Below are 13,776 nucleotides of genomic sequence, written 5' to 3'. Positions count from 1 at the left end.
ACTTGGCTCTGTGTAGCTCCAAATTCTATTTACCTTTCATTATACCATACAGCCTTATAATCTATCAGTGAAAATACATTGAAACAGTATCTGCATCAATCCTAATGTGAAATAAGGCAAGCAAAAACATTTTTTAAAACTCACAATACAGGCTGGGCAAAGTGGCTCACTCCTATAATCCCGGCACTTTTGGAGTGTGAGGCAGGAGGATCAGTTGAGGCCAGGAGTTTGAAGCTGCAGTGAGCTATAAGCAGAACTGCACTCCAGCCTGGGCAGTACAGGGAGACCCTGTCTCTACAAAATTTTTTTTTTTTTTTAAACATTAGCCATGTGTGGTGGTGCAGCATATACTCCCAGCTACTTGGAAAGGCTGAGGTGGGAGGATCCCCTGAACCTAGGAATTTGAGGCTGCAGTGAGCCATGACTGCGCCACTGCACTCCAGCCTGGGTGACAGAGTGAGACCCAGTCTCAGAACAATAGCAGGCTGGGCATGGTGGCTCAGGTCTGTAATCTTAGCACTTTGGGAGGCCCACGCAGGTGGATCACCTGAAGTCAGGAGTTCGAGACCAGCCTGGCCAACATGGTGAAACCTCGTCTCTACAAAAAATACAAAAAATAGCCAGGCATGGTGGCACGCACCTGTAATCCCAGCTACTCGGGAGGCTGAGGCACGAGAATCGCTTGAACCTGGGAGGCGGAGGTTGCAGTGAGCTGAGATCATGCCACTGCGCTCCAACCTACGCGACTCTGTCTCAAAAAAAAAAAACAAAAAAAAAAAACAAAAAAAACAAAAACCCAAAAAGCAACCACCACCACCACCCAGCAAGTCACACTCTAGAAACAAATATAAACAAAGCAGCATATGAAGTCTAAGTTAAGACTGCAGTTATATCTCCCATTAAAAGGGGGAAAGTTTCTAGAGCACGCGAGTCTTGAAGGATGAGCAGAAGTATGTCATGTGAACAAGAGGGTAAAGACCCTATACCAAGTGGTTGGAATAATAAGTTCAAAAACCACGACCCCTGTAATCCCAGCACTCTGAGAGACTGAGGCAGGCAGATCGCTTGAGCTCAGGAGTTTGAGACCAGCCTGGGCAACATGGTGAAACCCCATCTCTACAAAAAATACAAAAACTAGCTGGGCATGGTGGTGCATGCCTATAGTCTCAGCTACTCAGGAGGCTGAGGTGGGAGGACTGTTTGAGCCTAGGAGGTCGAGGCTGCAATGAGCCATGATTGTGCCACTGCACTCCAGCCTGGGTAACTGAGCAAGACCCTGTCTCAAAAAACAAAACAGGCCAGGCGCAGTAGCTCACGCCTGTAATCCCAGCACTTTAGGAGGCCGAAAGTGGGCGGATTACCTGAGGTCAGGAGTTCAACACCAGTCTGGCCAAAATAGCAAAACCCTGTCTCTACTAAAAATAAAGAAACTAGCTGGGCATGGTGGTAGGCTCCTGTAATCCAAGCCACTTGGGAGGCTAAAGCAGCAGAATCGCTTGAATCCAGGAAGCGGAGGCTGGAGTGAGTCAAGATCGTGCCACTGTACTCCAGCCTGGGCAACAAGAGTGAAACTCTGTCTCAAAAACAAAAACAAAAACAAAAAACAAAAAACAGGGTGGGTGCAGTGGCTCACCCTTGTAATCCCAGCACTTTGGGAGGCCAATGCGGGCGGATCACAAGGTCAGGAATTCGAGATCAGCCTGACTTAACATGGCGAAACCTTGTCTCTACTAAAAATACAAAAATTAGCCAGGCATGGTGGCATGTACCTGTAATCCCAGCTACTCAGGAGGCTGAGGCAGGAGAATCACTTGAACCTGGGAGGCAGAGGTTGCAGTGAGCCGAGATCGCTCCACTGCACTCCAGCCTGGGCGACAGATCGAGACTCAGTCTCAAAAAAACAAAACAAAACAAACAAACAAAAAAGAACAAAAAAAACTATGACCCCCTCAGAGAATGATAAGAATATCAGAGAGGAAAGGGGCAGGAATAAGACTGAGAAATGAACTGGACTCAGAGTGTGAGGAGCCTTCAGTGCTAAATGAAGACACCAACCTGGCCATAGCCTTACCTCAGAAGTCTTAAGTGAAATCTCCACACACATGGACCTCCCGACTGCAGGCAGCTGTCCTGCCAGTGCCTTCTTTGCTTCATGTGTAACCTCTGGGATGTCTTTGATTGCTAAGTTGAACTGGAAAACAAAAGGGACTTTTGCATGAAACACTCACAGGAACATTATGGAAAAAGAAATTAGTGTATGCTGGGTAATGCAAGTATTGCTGTGGCTGATTAAGGAAGACAATTCATTCACTTCTCCCTTCCCCATAAGGGATAATCCTGCATCAAAGCCCCAAATCTCAAGTTGAAAAAGGTAATTATCATTACAAAAATTAGCTAAGACACAATTTTTATCTTACAAGGACTAAGCTTTTCATCTATCACAGCAGAAAGTTAAGAACCAAATAAATTCAGGATTAACATACAATAAGAACAACCTTTTCAAGTAAATGGATCAAATGGAATTAGATATTTTACTTTTATAATACTATAAATGGTATTACTTATTATTGCACTTGAGAACTTTACACATTCCTTGTGACAAACACTACAGTATACACCTTAGTAAATAATAGAATTTTACCCAATCTGAACCCGTTGGAGAAGATGATGAACGAGTGCAAATCTTTTCACCAAGCCGAGCCTGGACAATCACTTGGACAGTCTAAAGAAAAAAAAAACACAAAAGAAATCCTAAAATGATGAAAAGTCTTAGACTAATCTGGCTCCCGATCAGGGTTAAAATCCTCCCAATACAGAGTTTAAAAGATGCCAATTAATCATAAGTATACTTTGGGAAACAGTATAATTTTAATTTTTGAGAACAGAAAAAACACCACATACAAAAAATAACTTTATAAACATTCCTGAGGGTACAGTGTCAACCAATGAAAGGAATTACAGGTTGAGGCTTGGAAACTGTAATATTCTCATATGGCAGAAGGAAAGCTGAGCATGGTGGCTATGATGTTCATAAAGAAACGTGTCCAACTGTGGTTTTAAATATTCCCTGCCACAAACTTATAACACCATGGTAGATTTAAAACAAAAATTCCACAATTATTCATATCATTTGGCCCATATGGCAAAAGTCTTCCACATAATTTTACAACTAAAATCAACTACATGGATTGTTCTAGCATGGCAATGGTTGAGAGGAGTGACATAGGTAGAAATGATTTTTAGATTTAGGAAAATATGGCATTCAAAATTCAATTTTAATTCCTCATTTACCAGGAAGGGAAGAATATATAAAAGTTGAACATTTCAGGATTACTTGAAACTTAAGGAAAGATGTCCAAAATGCTGCCCATTCCAGCTGATGGTCTTTGTTCCCACCCAAAGGGAACATACTGTGCCAATAACCTGGCATAACAGTTTGACATTTCTGCAAACAGACTTGCAAAAAAAAAAAAAATTTTTTTTTTGAACAAGTAGCTGTGGAAAATTGGAAGCTACATTTTAGCTACACCCCCAATACCGCCCCCATACCTCACAGTTTGGTTGACAACAGACAGAAGTATCCCTTAAAATGGGCAAGCTGCAAGCTGTTATGCTACTTTCCAAAGAGAGTTGTTCGCAAAAGGGAGAAGCACGGAAGTTATTTCTAACAGTTCTAGGCTCAAGAGAATGGACACATTACCTTGAGGGCAAAAAATTTAATAAACTTGTCCAGGTCCTTTCTGTCCTGGGAATTGAGATCAGTTTCCATTGCCTATAGGAATCTAAAAAAAAAAAGTGAAAAAAATATGACTAATATCTTTAAAAAGGCATTGATACATCAAAGCATACAGAGATGGTATTGTCTACTAGCCTAGGAATAATCATGTGGGAGTGGGAGGAAAAAAATTTCCTTTAACTAAAGATACCAAAGTGAAAAATACTGAGATACTATCTCTTGAGGAAAACAGATTCCACACTGAGCTACATCTAGGAACCTAAAAAATGAATGAGAACATTTTACCTGATTCTGAAACTTTGAGCTTTAATTATCCATTCAAAATTATTTCATCATCCAGCAGATTCAGGACTAAATTTTAATGAGACATAAACTTTGCTGAACACACATTAGTTAATTTATATTCCTTCAAAGGCCACTAAATCAATTTAACTTTGGGGAGTTATGGGCTTTTGAGAATCTATTGACAAAAGCCCTTTCTCCAGAAAAAAACATACATATAGGAATGTTTGCATATAATTTCATGGGGATTCATGGATTTCATGAAACACACCATGAATGCCCTCCCTGGCTGGCCGCTATGGGTCATGCCTGTAATCCCAACACATTGGGAGGCCAAGGCAGGAGGACTGCTTGAGCCAAGGAATTTGGACCAGCTTGGGCAAGATCAACATGGTGAGACCCGGTCTCATTTAAAAAAAAAAAAAAAAAAGCCCTCCCAGGTTGAAATGATTTGAGATGATTTGAGAGAAAGAATGCATTTAGAGAGAGACGAGCATGAACAAAGAGGTATAAACAATACAGAGCAAATTAGGTTTAGAAATATTAAGTACTCCAGTTTTCTCCAGTTTTCCAAAGGATTGAGTATAGTTGGAAAATGTTAATGGACGTCCTGAGCCAGCAGATAAAATAGACTCCCGCAGCTGAGGGGTGTCATGTTTAAAACAGAACAAGATGGCCATAGCTGGGGGACCAAGTAGTCATGTACTCTTTGTTCTCAAAAACATGTATAAAAGTAGTAGAAGACCTCCCTTTTTACAATCAAGCTGTTGTTGATTGGACACGTTGTTGGAGCTGTTGATCCCAAGCTAAACTGGGCAAGAACCGCCAACCCCCAACCCCTGAACTCCCTCAATCAGCCGTTTGAAACAAATGTCTGAGAGACCTCTGGTTTTGGGCCTGGAAACTAACCAATCAGGGGTCAGCTGTATCAACCAATCAGAACTCGGCTATGCTGACCAACCAGAACTAGGCAAGTTTCAATCCTTCCTTTGCATAAACAGACCTGACTCTGAACCTAGGCACTATAAAACCTGCACCCTCCCTTTGTTCTGCCAGGTTACAAACTGTTCACTGGGATAAAGTCTCTTTCCTCCAAATTCCTTTGCAGAGAACTTTTGTTCACAGGAAGTAATACAGCTGGTTGGGGCCAGACCATGAGCATCTTGAATACAATCAGCGTCTAGAAGCCAGATCTGCACCTAGTGTGCGAGACAGGGGAGCCCACCCAAGGCTTTTGACGAGAGGAAGTGACACAATCAGAGTGGTAACAACATCCTGAATGGTGCTTTAGAAAGATAGCTTTACGGGCATAATGCAGAACACTTTTGAGTATGAAAAATGGGGAAATCAGTTAGGTCCTTGGCAATAATTAAGGATTGTGATCAAGGCATGATCTAGCATAGGCATGATTGGGTGATATTTTAAAGGAAAAGCTGAAGGCCAGGCACGGTGGCTCACGCCTGTAATCCTAGCACTTTGGGAGGCCGAGGAGGGTGGATCACCTGAGGTTAGGAGTTTGAGACCAGCCTGGCCAACATGGTGAAACCCGTCTCTACTAAAAATGCAAAAATTAGCTGGGTGTGGTGGCACACGCCTGTAATACCAGCTACTTGGGAGGCTGAGGCAAGAGAATTGCTTGAACCCAGAAGGCAGAGGTTGCAGTGGGCTGAGATTGCGCCACTGCACTCCAGCCTGGGTGGCAGAGTGAGATTCCATCCAAAAAAAAAAAAAAAAAAAACCCACAAAAATAAAAAAACAAGGAAGAGCTGATAAGATTTAATGACTGACTTAAGAAACAGGACAAAGGAGTAGCAGAGTTTTAAACATGGATAACTGAGAAGCTAGAGTTTCATTTAACAAAAACAGGGAAGCCAGACTGGGAAAAGATTTTAAGGAAAAGAATAAACAAAAGGAGAGCTGAAAGAGGAAATAATGGGTACACGTTAAATTTTTTTTTGGTCGGGCACGGTGGTGCACACCTGTAATCCCAACAGTTTAGGAGGCTGAGGCAGTTGGATCACTTGCAGGATCACAGACCAGGAGTTGGAGACCAGCCTGGACAACATGGCACAACCCGTCTCTAATCAAAATACAAAAAAATTTAGCCAGGCATGGTGGCACATGCCTGTAGTCCTAGCTACTCGGGAGGATGAGGTGGGAGAATGGCCTGAGCCCTGGAGGTCAAGGCTGCAGTGAGCCATGGGCAGTGAGCCATGGGTGCTCCACTGCACTCCAGCCTGGGCAACAGGAGTAAAAAACTCTGTCACGAAAAAAAAAAAAAATCAGGTATAACTTAGATGCACTGAAATGCACAAATCTTGGGTGTACAGGTCAATAAATATTTTTATATGTATACACCCATATAACCACAATCCAGATACAGTTATAGAACATATCCAATATTCTAGAAGGTTCCATTACACCCCTCTCAGTCTATAAATCCACCAAAAGGAAATAATTACTGATTTATATCACCACAGATTAGTTTGGGTTGTTTTGAATTTCTTACAAATATAATCAATAATACTAACTTTTTTGTGTGTGGCTTTTATTCAACATTATGTCTATAATACAATTCATCTATATTGTTGGATGTAGCAGCAGTTTATTCTTTTTCATTGCTTCATAGTACCCTATCTCATGAATATAACGTAATATTAAAAATAAATTCTAGGCCGGGCACAGTGGCTCACGCCTGTAATCCCACCACTTTGGGAGGCCGAGGCGGGTGGATCACAAGGTCAGGAGTTCAAGACCAGCCTGGCCAAGATGGTGAAACCCCGTCTCTACTAAAAATACAAAAATTAGCTGGGTGTGATGGTGGGCACCTGTAATCCCTGCTATTCAGGAGGCTGAGGCAGAGAACTGCTTGAACCCAGGAGGCAGAGGTTGCAGTGAGCCGAGATCGCACCACTGCACTCCAGCCTGGGCAATGGAGCAAGACTCCATCTTAAATAAATAAATAAAATTCTACTGATGATAAACATTTGAGTTGTTTCCTGTTTTTAGCTATCATATTCTTATATGTGTCTTTTGGTGGATGTAAACATTCACTGCTATCAGAGACAAAGTCAGGAATGTTAATGGTGGGTCACTGAGTACACGGTACGTATGTTTAGCTTAAACAGACACTGCCAGAAAGGTTTAAAGTATCTGTACCAGTTCACAGTCCAGCAGCGTTCAAGTGCTCCAGTTGCTATAAATCTATACACCACTTGGTAATACTTATTCTTTAATTTTAGCCATTCTGGTAAAGATAGTAGTATCTGGTAGTATCTCATCTAATCTGCATTTCCCTGATGACTGAAATTTCCCCTATTAGCACCTTTTCATGTGCTTATTAGCAATTTGGATATCCTATCTTATTGTTGTATTTTTTAATTTTGTGAGACAAAATCTTGCTCTGTTGCCTAGACTGGAGTGCAGTGGCACGATCGCAGCCTCAATCATCCAGGCTCAGGCAATCCTCCTGCCTCGGCCTCCGAGTAGCTGGAAACAGAGGCTCTAGCTAAGATATCTTCTTTTGTGAAGTGCTAGTTTAAGCCTTTTGCCCATTTTTACCATTGGGTTTTCTTTTCCTTACTGAAGTTTTAAACATATATTCTGGATACAAGTACTTCGTTGGATATACATACTGCAAATATCTTCTCCCAGAGGTGGCTTGCCATTCTGATGGAACCTATTTTTTATTTTTTAACAAGAGACTGAATATACTAACAGACAGTGGCTATGAAGCCATTCTTAGAAGATTAACAAGAATTCTGGACAGAAATATAATTAACCATTAATCACGCTGTACTTTGACCCACTTCCTTGTAACCATTTGCATCCCTACTGTTCTACAGACAGGCTCCCTGATGTTAGAATCATAAGACTTTTGTTTAAGAATTGCTTAAATACATGGGCACAGTGGCTCATGCCTGTAATCCCAGTACTTTGGGGGGCCAAGATGGGAGAATCACTTTAGTCCAAGAGTTTGAGACCAGCCTGGGCAACATGGTGAAACCCCATCTCTAGGAAAAAAAAATATAAAAATTAGCTGGGCATGGTAGTCCCAGCTACTCAGGAGGCTGAGACAGGAGGATTGCTTGAGCCTGGGAGGCAGAGACTGCAGTGAGCTGAGATCGTGCCACTACACTCCAACATGGGGGACAGAGCAAGACCCTGTCAAAAAAAAAAAAAAAAAAAATTGCATAAGCAGATCCTGAAGTACAGCAGAATAGCTGACACCAAACAGTTTAAAGGCCCCCCCACAGAGAAACCAAACCAGTGTAAGAATATAGCTTCTTCATCTCTCTGTGCCATGACTTTACCCTGCATACTTTGACCAATGATCTCCACACTTCAGCCCACTCTCAAACTCTTAAATTGAAACTCTACCCACAAACTCCCTGGGAGGCGGATTTGAGGGTTCCTCCTGTTTCCTGTTTTGGCAACCCTACAATTAAACCTCTTTTCTCTGCTGCAACCCAGTGTCTCCGCATACTCACTTGCTGCACGAAATGAACAATGGACCTGTTACAGTTACAGCTGGGCAATATATATATATATAAAGACAGAATTCTGACCCACAACCTGAAGCAACCAGCCCAAGAAGCCAACCTACTATCTACACTAATGAGTCAATGAAGTCAGACTATCTCTAGCAACTAGTCCAGGAAGCCAACAATAACCACTATGACAATTGGCCCAATTCACAATAGCCAAGATACAGAATCACCCTAAATGTCTATCAACGAAGATAAAGAAAATGTGGAAGCTGGGCATGGTGGCTCACGCCTATAATCCCAGCACTGTGGGAGGCCAAGGTAGGCGGATCATGAGGTCAGGAGTTCGAGACCAGCCCAGCCAACATAGTAAAACCCTGTCTCTACTAAAAATACAAAAAAGTAGCCAGACATGGTTGTGGCGCCTGCAGTCCCAGCTACTTGGGAGGCCGAGGCAGGAGAATCACTTGAACCCGGGAGGCAGAGGTTGCAGTGAGCCGAGATTGCACCACTACACTCCAGCCAGGGCAACAGAGCGAGACTCCTTCTCAAAAAAAAATAAATAAATAAATAAATAAAAATCAGCCGAGTGTGGTGGCACATGCCTGTAGTCCCAGCTACTTGGAAGGCTGAGGTGGGAGAATGGCTTGCACCTGGGAGGCGGAGGTTGCAGTGAGCCAATACCACAACATTGCACTCCAGCCTGGGTGACAGAGTGAGACTCTGTCTCAAAAAACAAACAAACAAAAAAAGAGGAATATATATATCATGGAAATTAGCCACAGAAAAAGAGTAAAATCCTGTCATTTGCAGCAACATGAATGAACCTGGAGAGCATTATGTTAGGTGAAATAAGCCAGGCATGGAAAGACAAATACTGCATGATCTCACTCGTGGAATCTAAGATGTTGTTATTAAAGTAGTAGAGAGTAGAATAGGAGTTACCAGAGGATGGGGAAGTAGGGTGTAGGTTGATGGTGAGAAATTGGTCAGCAGGTACAAGGCCACAGTTAGATAGGAGGAATAAGTTCCAGTGTTCTATATCATAGCAGAATGACTGGAGTTAACAATAATATATATTTCAAAATAGCAAGAGAGGTTTTTTTGTTTTGTTTTTTGAGACAGAGTCTCACTCTGTCACCCAGGCTGGAGTGCAATGGTGCGATCTTGGCTTACTGCAACTTCCGACTCCCGGGTTCAAGCGATTCTGGTGCCTCAGCCTCCCTGAGTAGCTGGGATTATAGGCATGCGCCACCTCGCCCAGCTGATTTTTGTATTTTTAGTAGAGACAGGGTTATGCCATGTTGGCCAGGCTGGTTTTGAACTCCTGGACTCAAGCAATTCACCTGCCTCAGCCTTCCAAAGTTCTGGGATTACAGACATGAGCCACCGTGCCCAGTCAAAAAAGAGGTTTTTAAATGTTCTCATCACAAAGAAACAATAAATGTTTAAGATGATGAATATGCTAATTATCCTGAATAGGTCACTACACAATTTAGACATGCATCAAAACACGAACCCCATAAATATGTATAATTATTATGTATCAATCATAAATTAAAAATGAAAACAAAAAACCATTGGCCCAAAAGAGCTAGGACTTAATACCCTACATTTTGGTCCCCACGTCCTCCAACTTAGGACCAACTGAAGAAAGCCAAATATGCACCTCCTAACCAATCACACAGGATGCCCTGCTTCTAGTCAGCCTGCCGCCAGCTGCCCTATGCCAGGAGCCTCCAATTAGGGAAAACTTGAAACCTTCCCTTTTTCCCCCACTATAAAGCTTTCCCACTCCTCTGTCCGCTTCTGAGTCTCTGCCAAATGCAAATGATAACAGCTGACTCTTTTGCTCTGAATAGCCTGCGCTTGTTCTCATCTGGGTGCTATTTCCATATGAAAAATAGTTTTGATGCACTTTGGGAAGCTGAGGCAGGCAGATCACTTGAGGTCAGGAATTTGCGACCATCCTGGCCAACATGGCAAAACCCTGTCTCTACCAAAAAAATACAAAAATTAGCCAGGAGTGGTGGTGTACACCTGTAATCCCAGCTGCTCGGGAGGCTTGGGCAAGAGAATCACTTGAACCCTGGAAAAACATTATTTTTTGAACATAAAAAAGTGCTTACCATCAAACGAAAGATTAATAAATTATTAAAATTCAGAGAAAAGAAAATACATTTTTGCTGATCTGCAAATCATGAAGATATTCTCCTGTATTTTCTTGTAGAAACATTTTGTTTTATTGCACCACTGCATCCCATCCTGGGAAACAGAGTGAGACTCCATCTCAAAATAGATCAATAAAAATAGCTGAGTTGTAGCTCTCAATAAACAGTATGTTGAAAGTATACAATTTAATAGGATTCAACACACTTATGTATGGTAAAACCATCACCAAAAACAAAATAGTGAACCCCTATAGTTCCCAAAAGTTTCCTCATGCCTCCCTTTAGCCACTCCTTAATACCCCTTATCCTTAGGAAACCTCTGATCCTTAATCTGCAGTTTGTAGAATTCTTTCTCAATGGCTGGGCGCAGTGGCTCACACCTGTAATCCCAGCACTTTGGGAGGCCAAGGCAGGCTAATTACAAGGTCAAGAGATCGAGACCATCCTAGCCAACATGGTGAAACCCCGTCTCTACTAAAAATACAAAAATTAGCTGAGGCGTGTTGGTGTGCGCCTGTAGTCCCCGCTACTCGGGAGGCTGAGGCAGGAGAATTAACACTCTAGCCTGGTGACAGAATGAGACTCCACCTCAAAAGAAAAAAAAAAACTGTATCAACTAAATCACATAGGCCCAGCGTGGCAGCTGACACCTGTAATCCCAGCTCTTTGGGAGGTTGAGGCAGGAGGATCGCTTGTGGCCCAAAGTTCAAGAACAATCTGAGCAACATAGTGAAACTCCATCTCTACCCCCAACAAAAAAAGGAAAAAAGATTAAATCATACAGTATATACTCTTTGCCTGGCTTTTTTTTTTTTTTTTTTTTTTTTGAGACGGAGTCTCGCCCTGTCCTCCAGGCTGGAGTGCAGTGGCATGATCTCGGCTCACTGCAAGCTCCGCTTCCTGGGTTCACGCCATTCTCCTGCCTCAGTCTCCTGAGTAGCTGGGACTACAGGTGCTTGCCACCATGCCCAGGTAATTTTTTTGTATTTTTAGTAGAGACGGGGTTTCACTGTGTTAGCCAGGATGGTCTCGATCTCCTGACCTCATGATCCACCCGCCTCTGCCTCCCAAAGTGCTGGGATTACAGGTGTGAGCTACTGCGCCTGGCCCTCCCAGGATAGGGATATCTAAACAAATTTATAGGGAGAGACAAGAAGTCAATGAAGGAGAAATAAAAGATGTGAGAGAGGAAATAATTATTGGAATACGATGCCACAGGATAGTCCACCGTGATCAAGAACAGGTTAATGGCCTAAAGCGATCCAAACTATAAATGACTTACCTACTGGAATCTATCATTTGTAGATCTGGCTGCATTTGAAACATATACCCACTTCAGACATTCCTAATTTTGGTTAAAAAGAACACTAACAACTGTGCCATTGTACTCCAGCTTGGGTGACAGAGCAAGGCCCTGTCTCACGAAGAAGAAAAACAAAGAAAGAAAGAAATGCGCTGCAGGATTATACTGCCCTTATCTTACACTAAAGGTAAGAATTGGATTATCACCATCAGATTATCTACCAATGCAATCATTATAACGGCACAATGGCTCCAATGACTTTTTGTACAACTGGTAGCATTGAAAGGATTATGTAACTACAGTTATTGAGCCAAAAAGGGTGCAGTCTCCACTAGGGAAAAAGTTATCTCCCAGGCCTATGTGTTCCCTTAGGTCCAGTTAACCAAGCAGTCAATTCATCCTCTACAAGATAAATGTATGTAAGGTTTACTTTACGCTTTGCTCTTTGCAAAATTCTTTCTTTGAGTGCTCCTATGAATACAAAGGTAAATTTGATACAAACATTAAAGAAACCTGCAATTGAACAACTTCCTTTTTTCTGCCCTTTGCTATTAACTATCCAGTTACTAAATCCTGCAACTCTTGCTATGCAATTTTTTAAAAAAGAGATGGGGGTCTCTCTATGTTGGCCAGGTTGGTATTGAACTCCTGGACTCAGGCAATCCTAATTACCCTGATTTGATCATTACACAATGTATATATTTATCAAAACATCACTGTATCCTATAAATATGTACAACAATTATTATGTCTTAATTAAAATAAAACTTTTAAAAGGCCAAGCTCGGTGGCTCACGCCTGTAATCCCAGCACTTTGGGAAGCTGAGGGCAGGGGATCACATGAGGTCAGGAGTTCGAGACCAGCCTGGCCAACATAGCAAAACCCGTCTCTACTAAAAATACAAAAATTAGCCAGGAGTGGTGCCGCAGCCTGTAATCCCAGCCACTTGGGAGGCTGAGGCACGAGAATCGCTTGAACTTGGGAGGCAGAGGCTGCCATGAGTTCAGACAGCACCCTTGCACTCCAGACTAGGAGACAGAGAGAAAAACCCCTACTTAAAAAAAAAACAAAAAAAACCTAGGCCAGGTGAGGTGACTCATGCCTGTAATCCCAGCACTTTGGGAGGCTGAGTCGGGCGGATCACAAGGTCAGGAGTTCAAGAAAAGCCTGGCCAATATGGTGAAACCCGGCCTCTACTAAAAATACAAAAAATTAGCTGGGTGTGCTGGCACACACCTGTAGTCCCAGCTACTGGGGAGGCTGAGGCAGGAGAATCATTTGAACCCAGGAGGCAGAGGTTGCAGTGAGCCGAGATCGTGCCACTGCACTCCAGCCTGGGTGACAGAGCAAGACTCCGTCTCAAAAAACAAACAAACAAAAAAACTAGGCTGGGCGCAGTGGATCACACCTGTAATCCCAGCACTTTGGGAGGATGAGGTGGGCGGATTACTTGAGGTCAGGAGTTTGAGACCAGCCTAGCCAACATGGTAAAACCCTGTCTCTACTAAAAATACAAAAATTAGCTGGGTGTGTTGGTGCATGCCTATAGTCCCAGCTACTCAGGAGGCTGAGTCAGGACTGCTTGAACCCGGGAGGCGGAGGTGCAGTGAGCTGAGATTGTGCCACTGTACTCCAGCCTGGGCGACAAAAACTCAGACTCAAAAAAAAAAAAAGAAAACTAAATTAAATTAAAAAGAAAAAAAGAATCCAATCCCAGCACTTTGGGAGGCCGAGGCCGGTGGATCACAAGATCAGGAGATCGCGACCATCCTGGCCAACATGGTGAAACCCCGTCT

The 13,776-nt window shown here is 42.8% G+C and overlaps 1 protein-coding gene across 54 annotated transcripts in view; it reads right to left on the bottom strand.

The window, feature by feature from the left end:
• ATG13 (autophagy related 13) overlaps positions 1-13,776 on the bottom strand; it is a 56,966-nt gene that overhangs the window by 26,458 nt on the left and 16,732 nt on the right. For 52 of the 54 annotated variants that reach the window (NR_144423.2, NR_144422.2, NR_144424.2 and 49 more), the window contains 3 exon segments: positions 2,072-2,191; positions 2,642-2,722; positions 3,701-3,782. Coding sequence is in view for 47 of the 54 variants with exons in the window: in NM_001346319.2 (NP_001333248.1) it covers positions 2,072-2,191; positions 2,642-2,722; positions 3,701-3,769 (270 nt within the window). In the remaining 7 variants the exon portion in view is untranslated. 54 annotated transcript variants of the gene reach the window in all.

This window comes from Homo sapiens, chromosome 11 (genome assembly GCF_000001405.40).
Source record: "Homo sapiens chromosome 11, GRCh38.p14 Primary Assembly".
NCBI lineage: Eukaryota > Metazoa > Chordata > Mammalia > Primates > Hominidae > Homo > Homo sapiens.
This window is presented reverse-complemented; position numbering and strand designations above follow the sequence as displayed.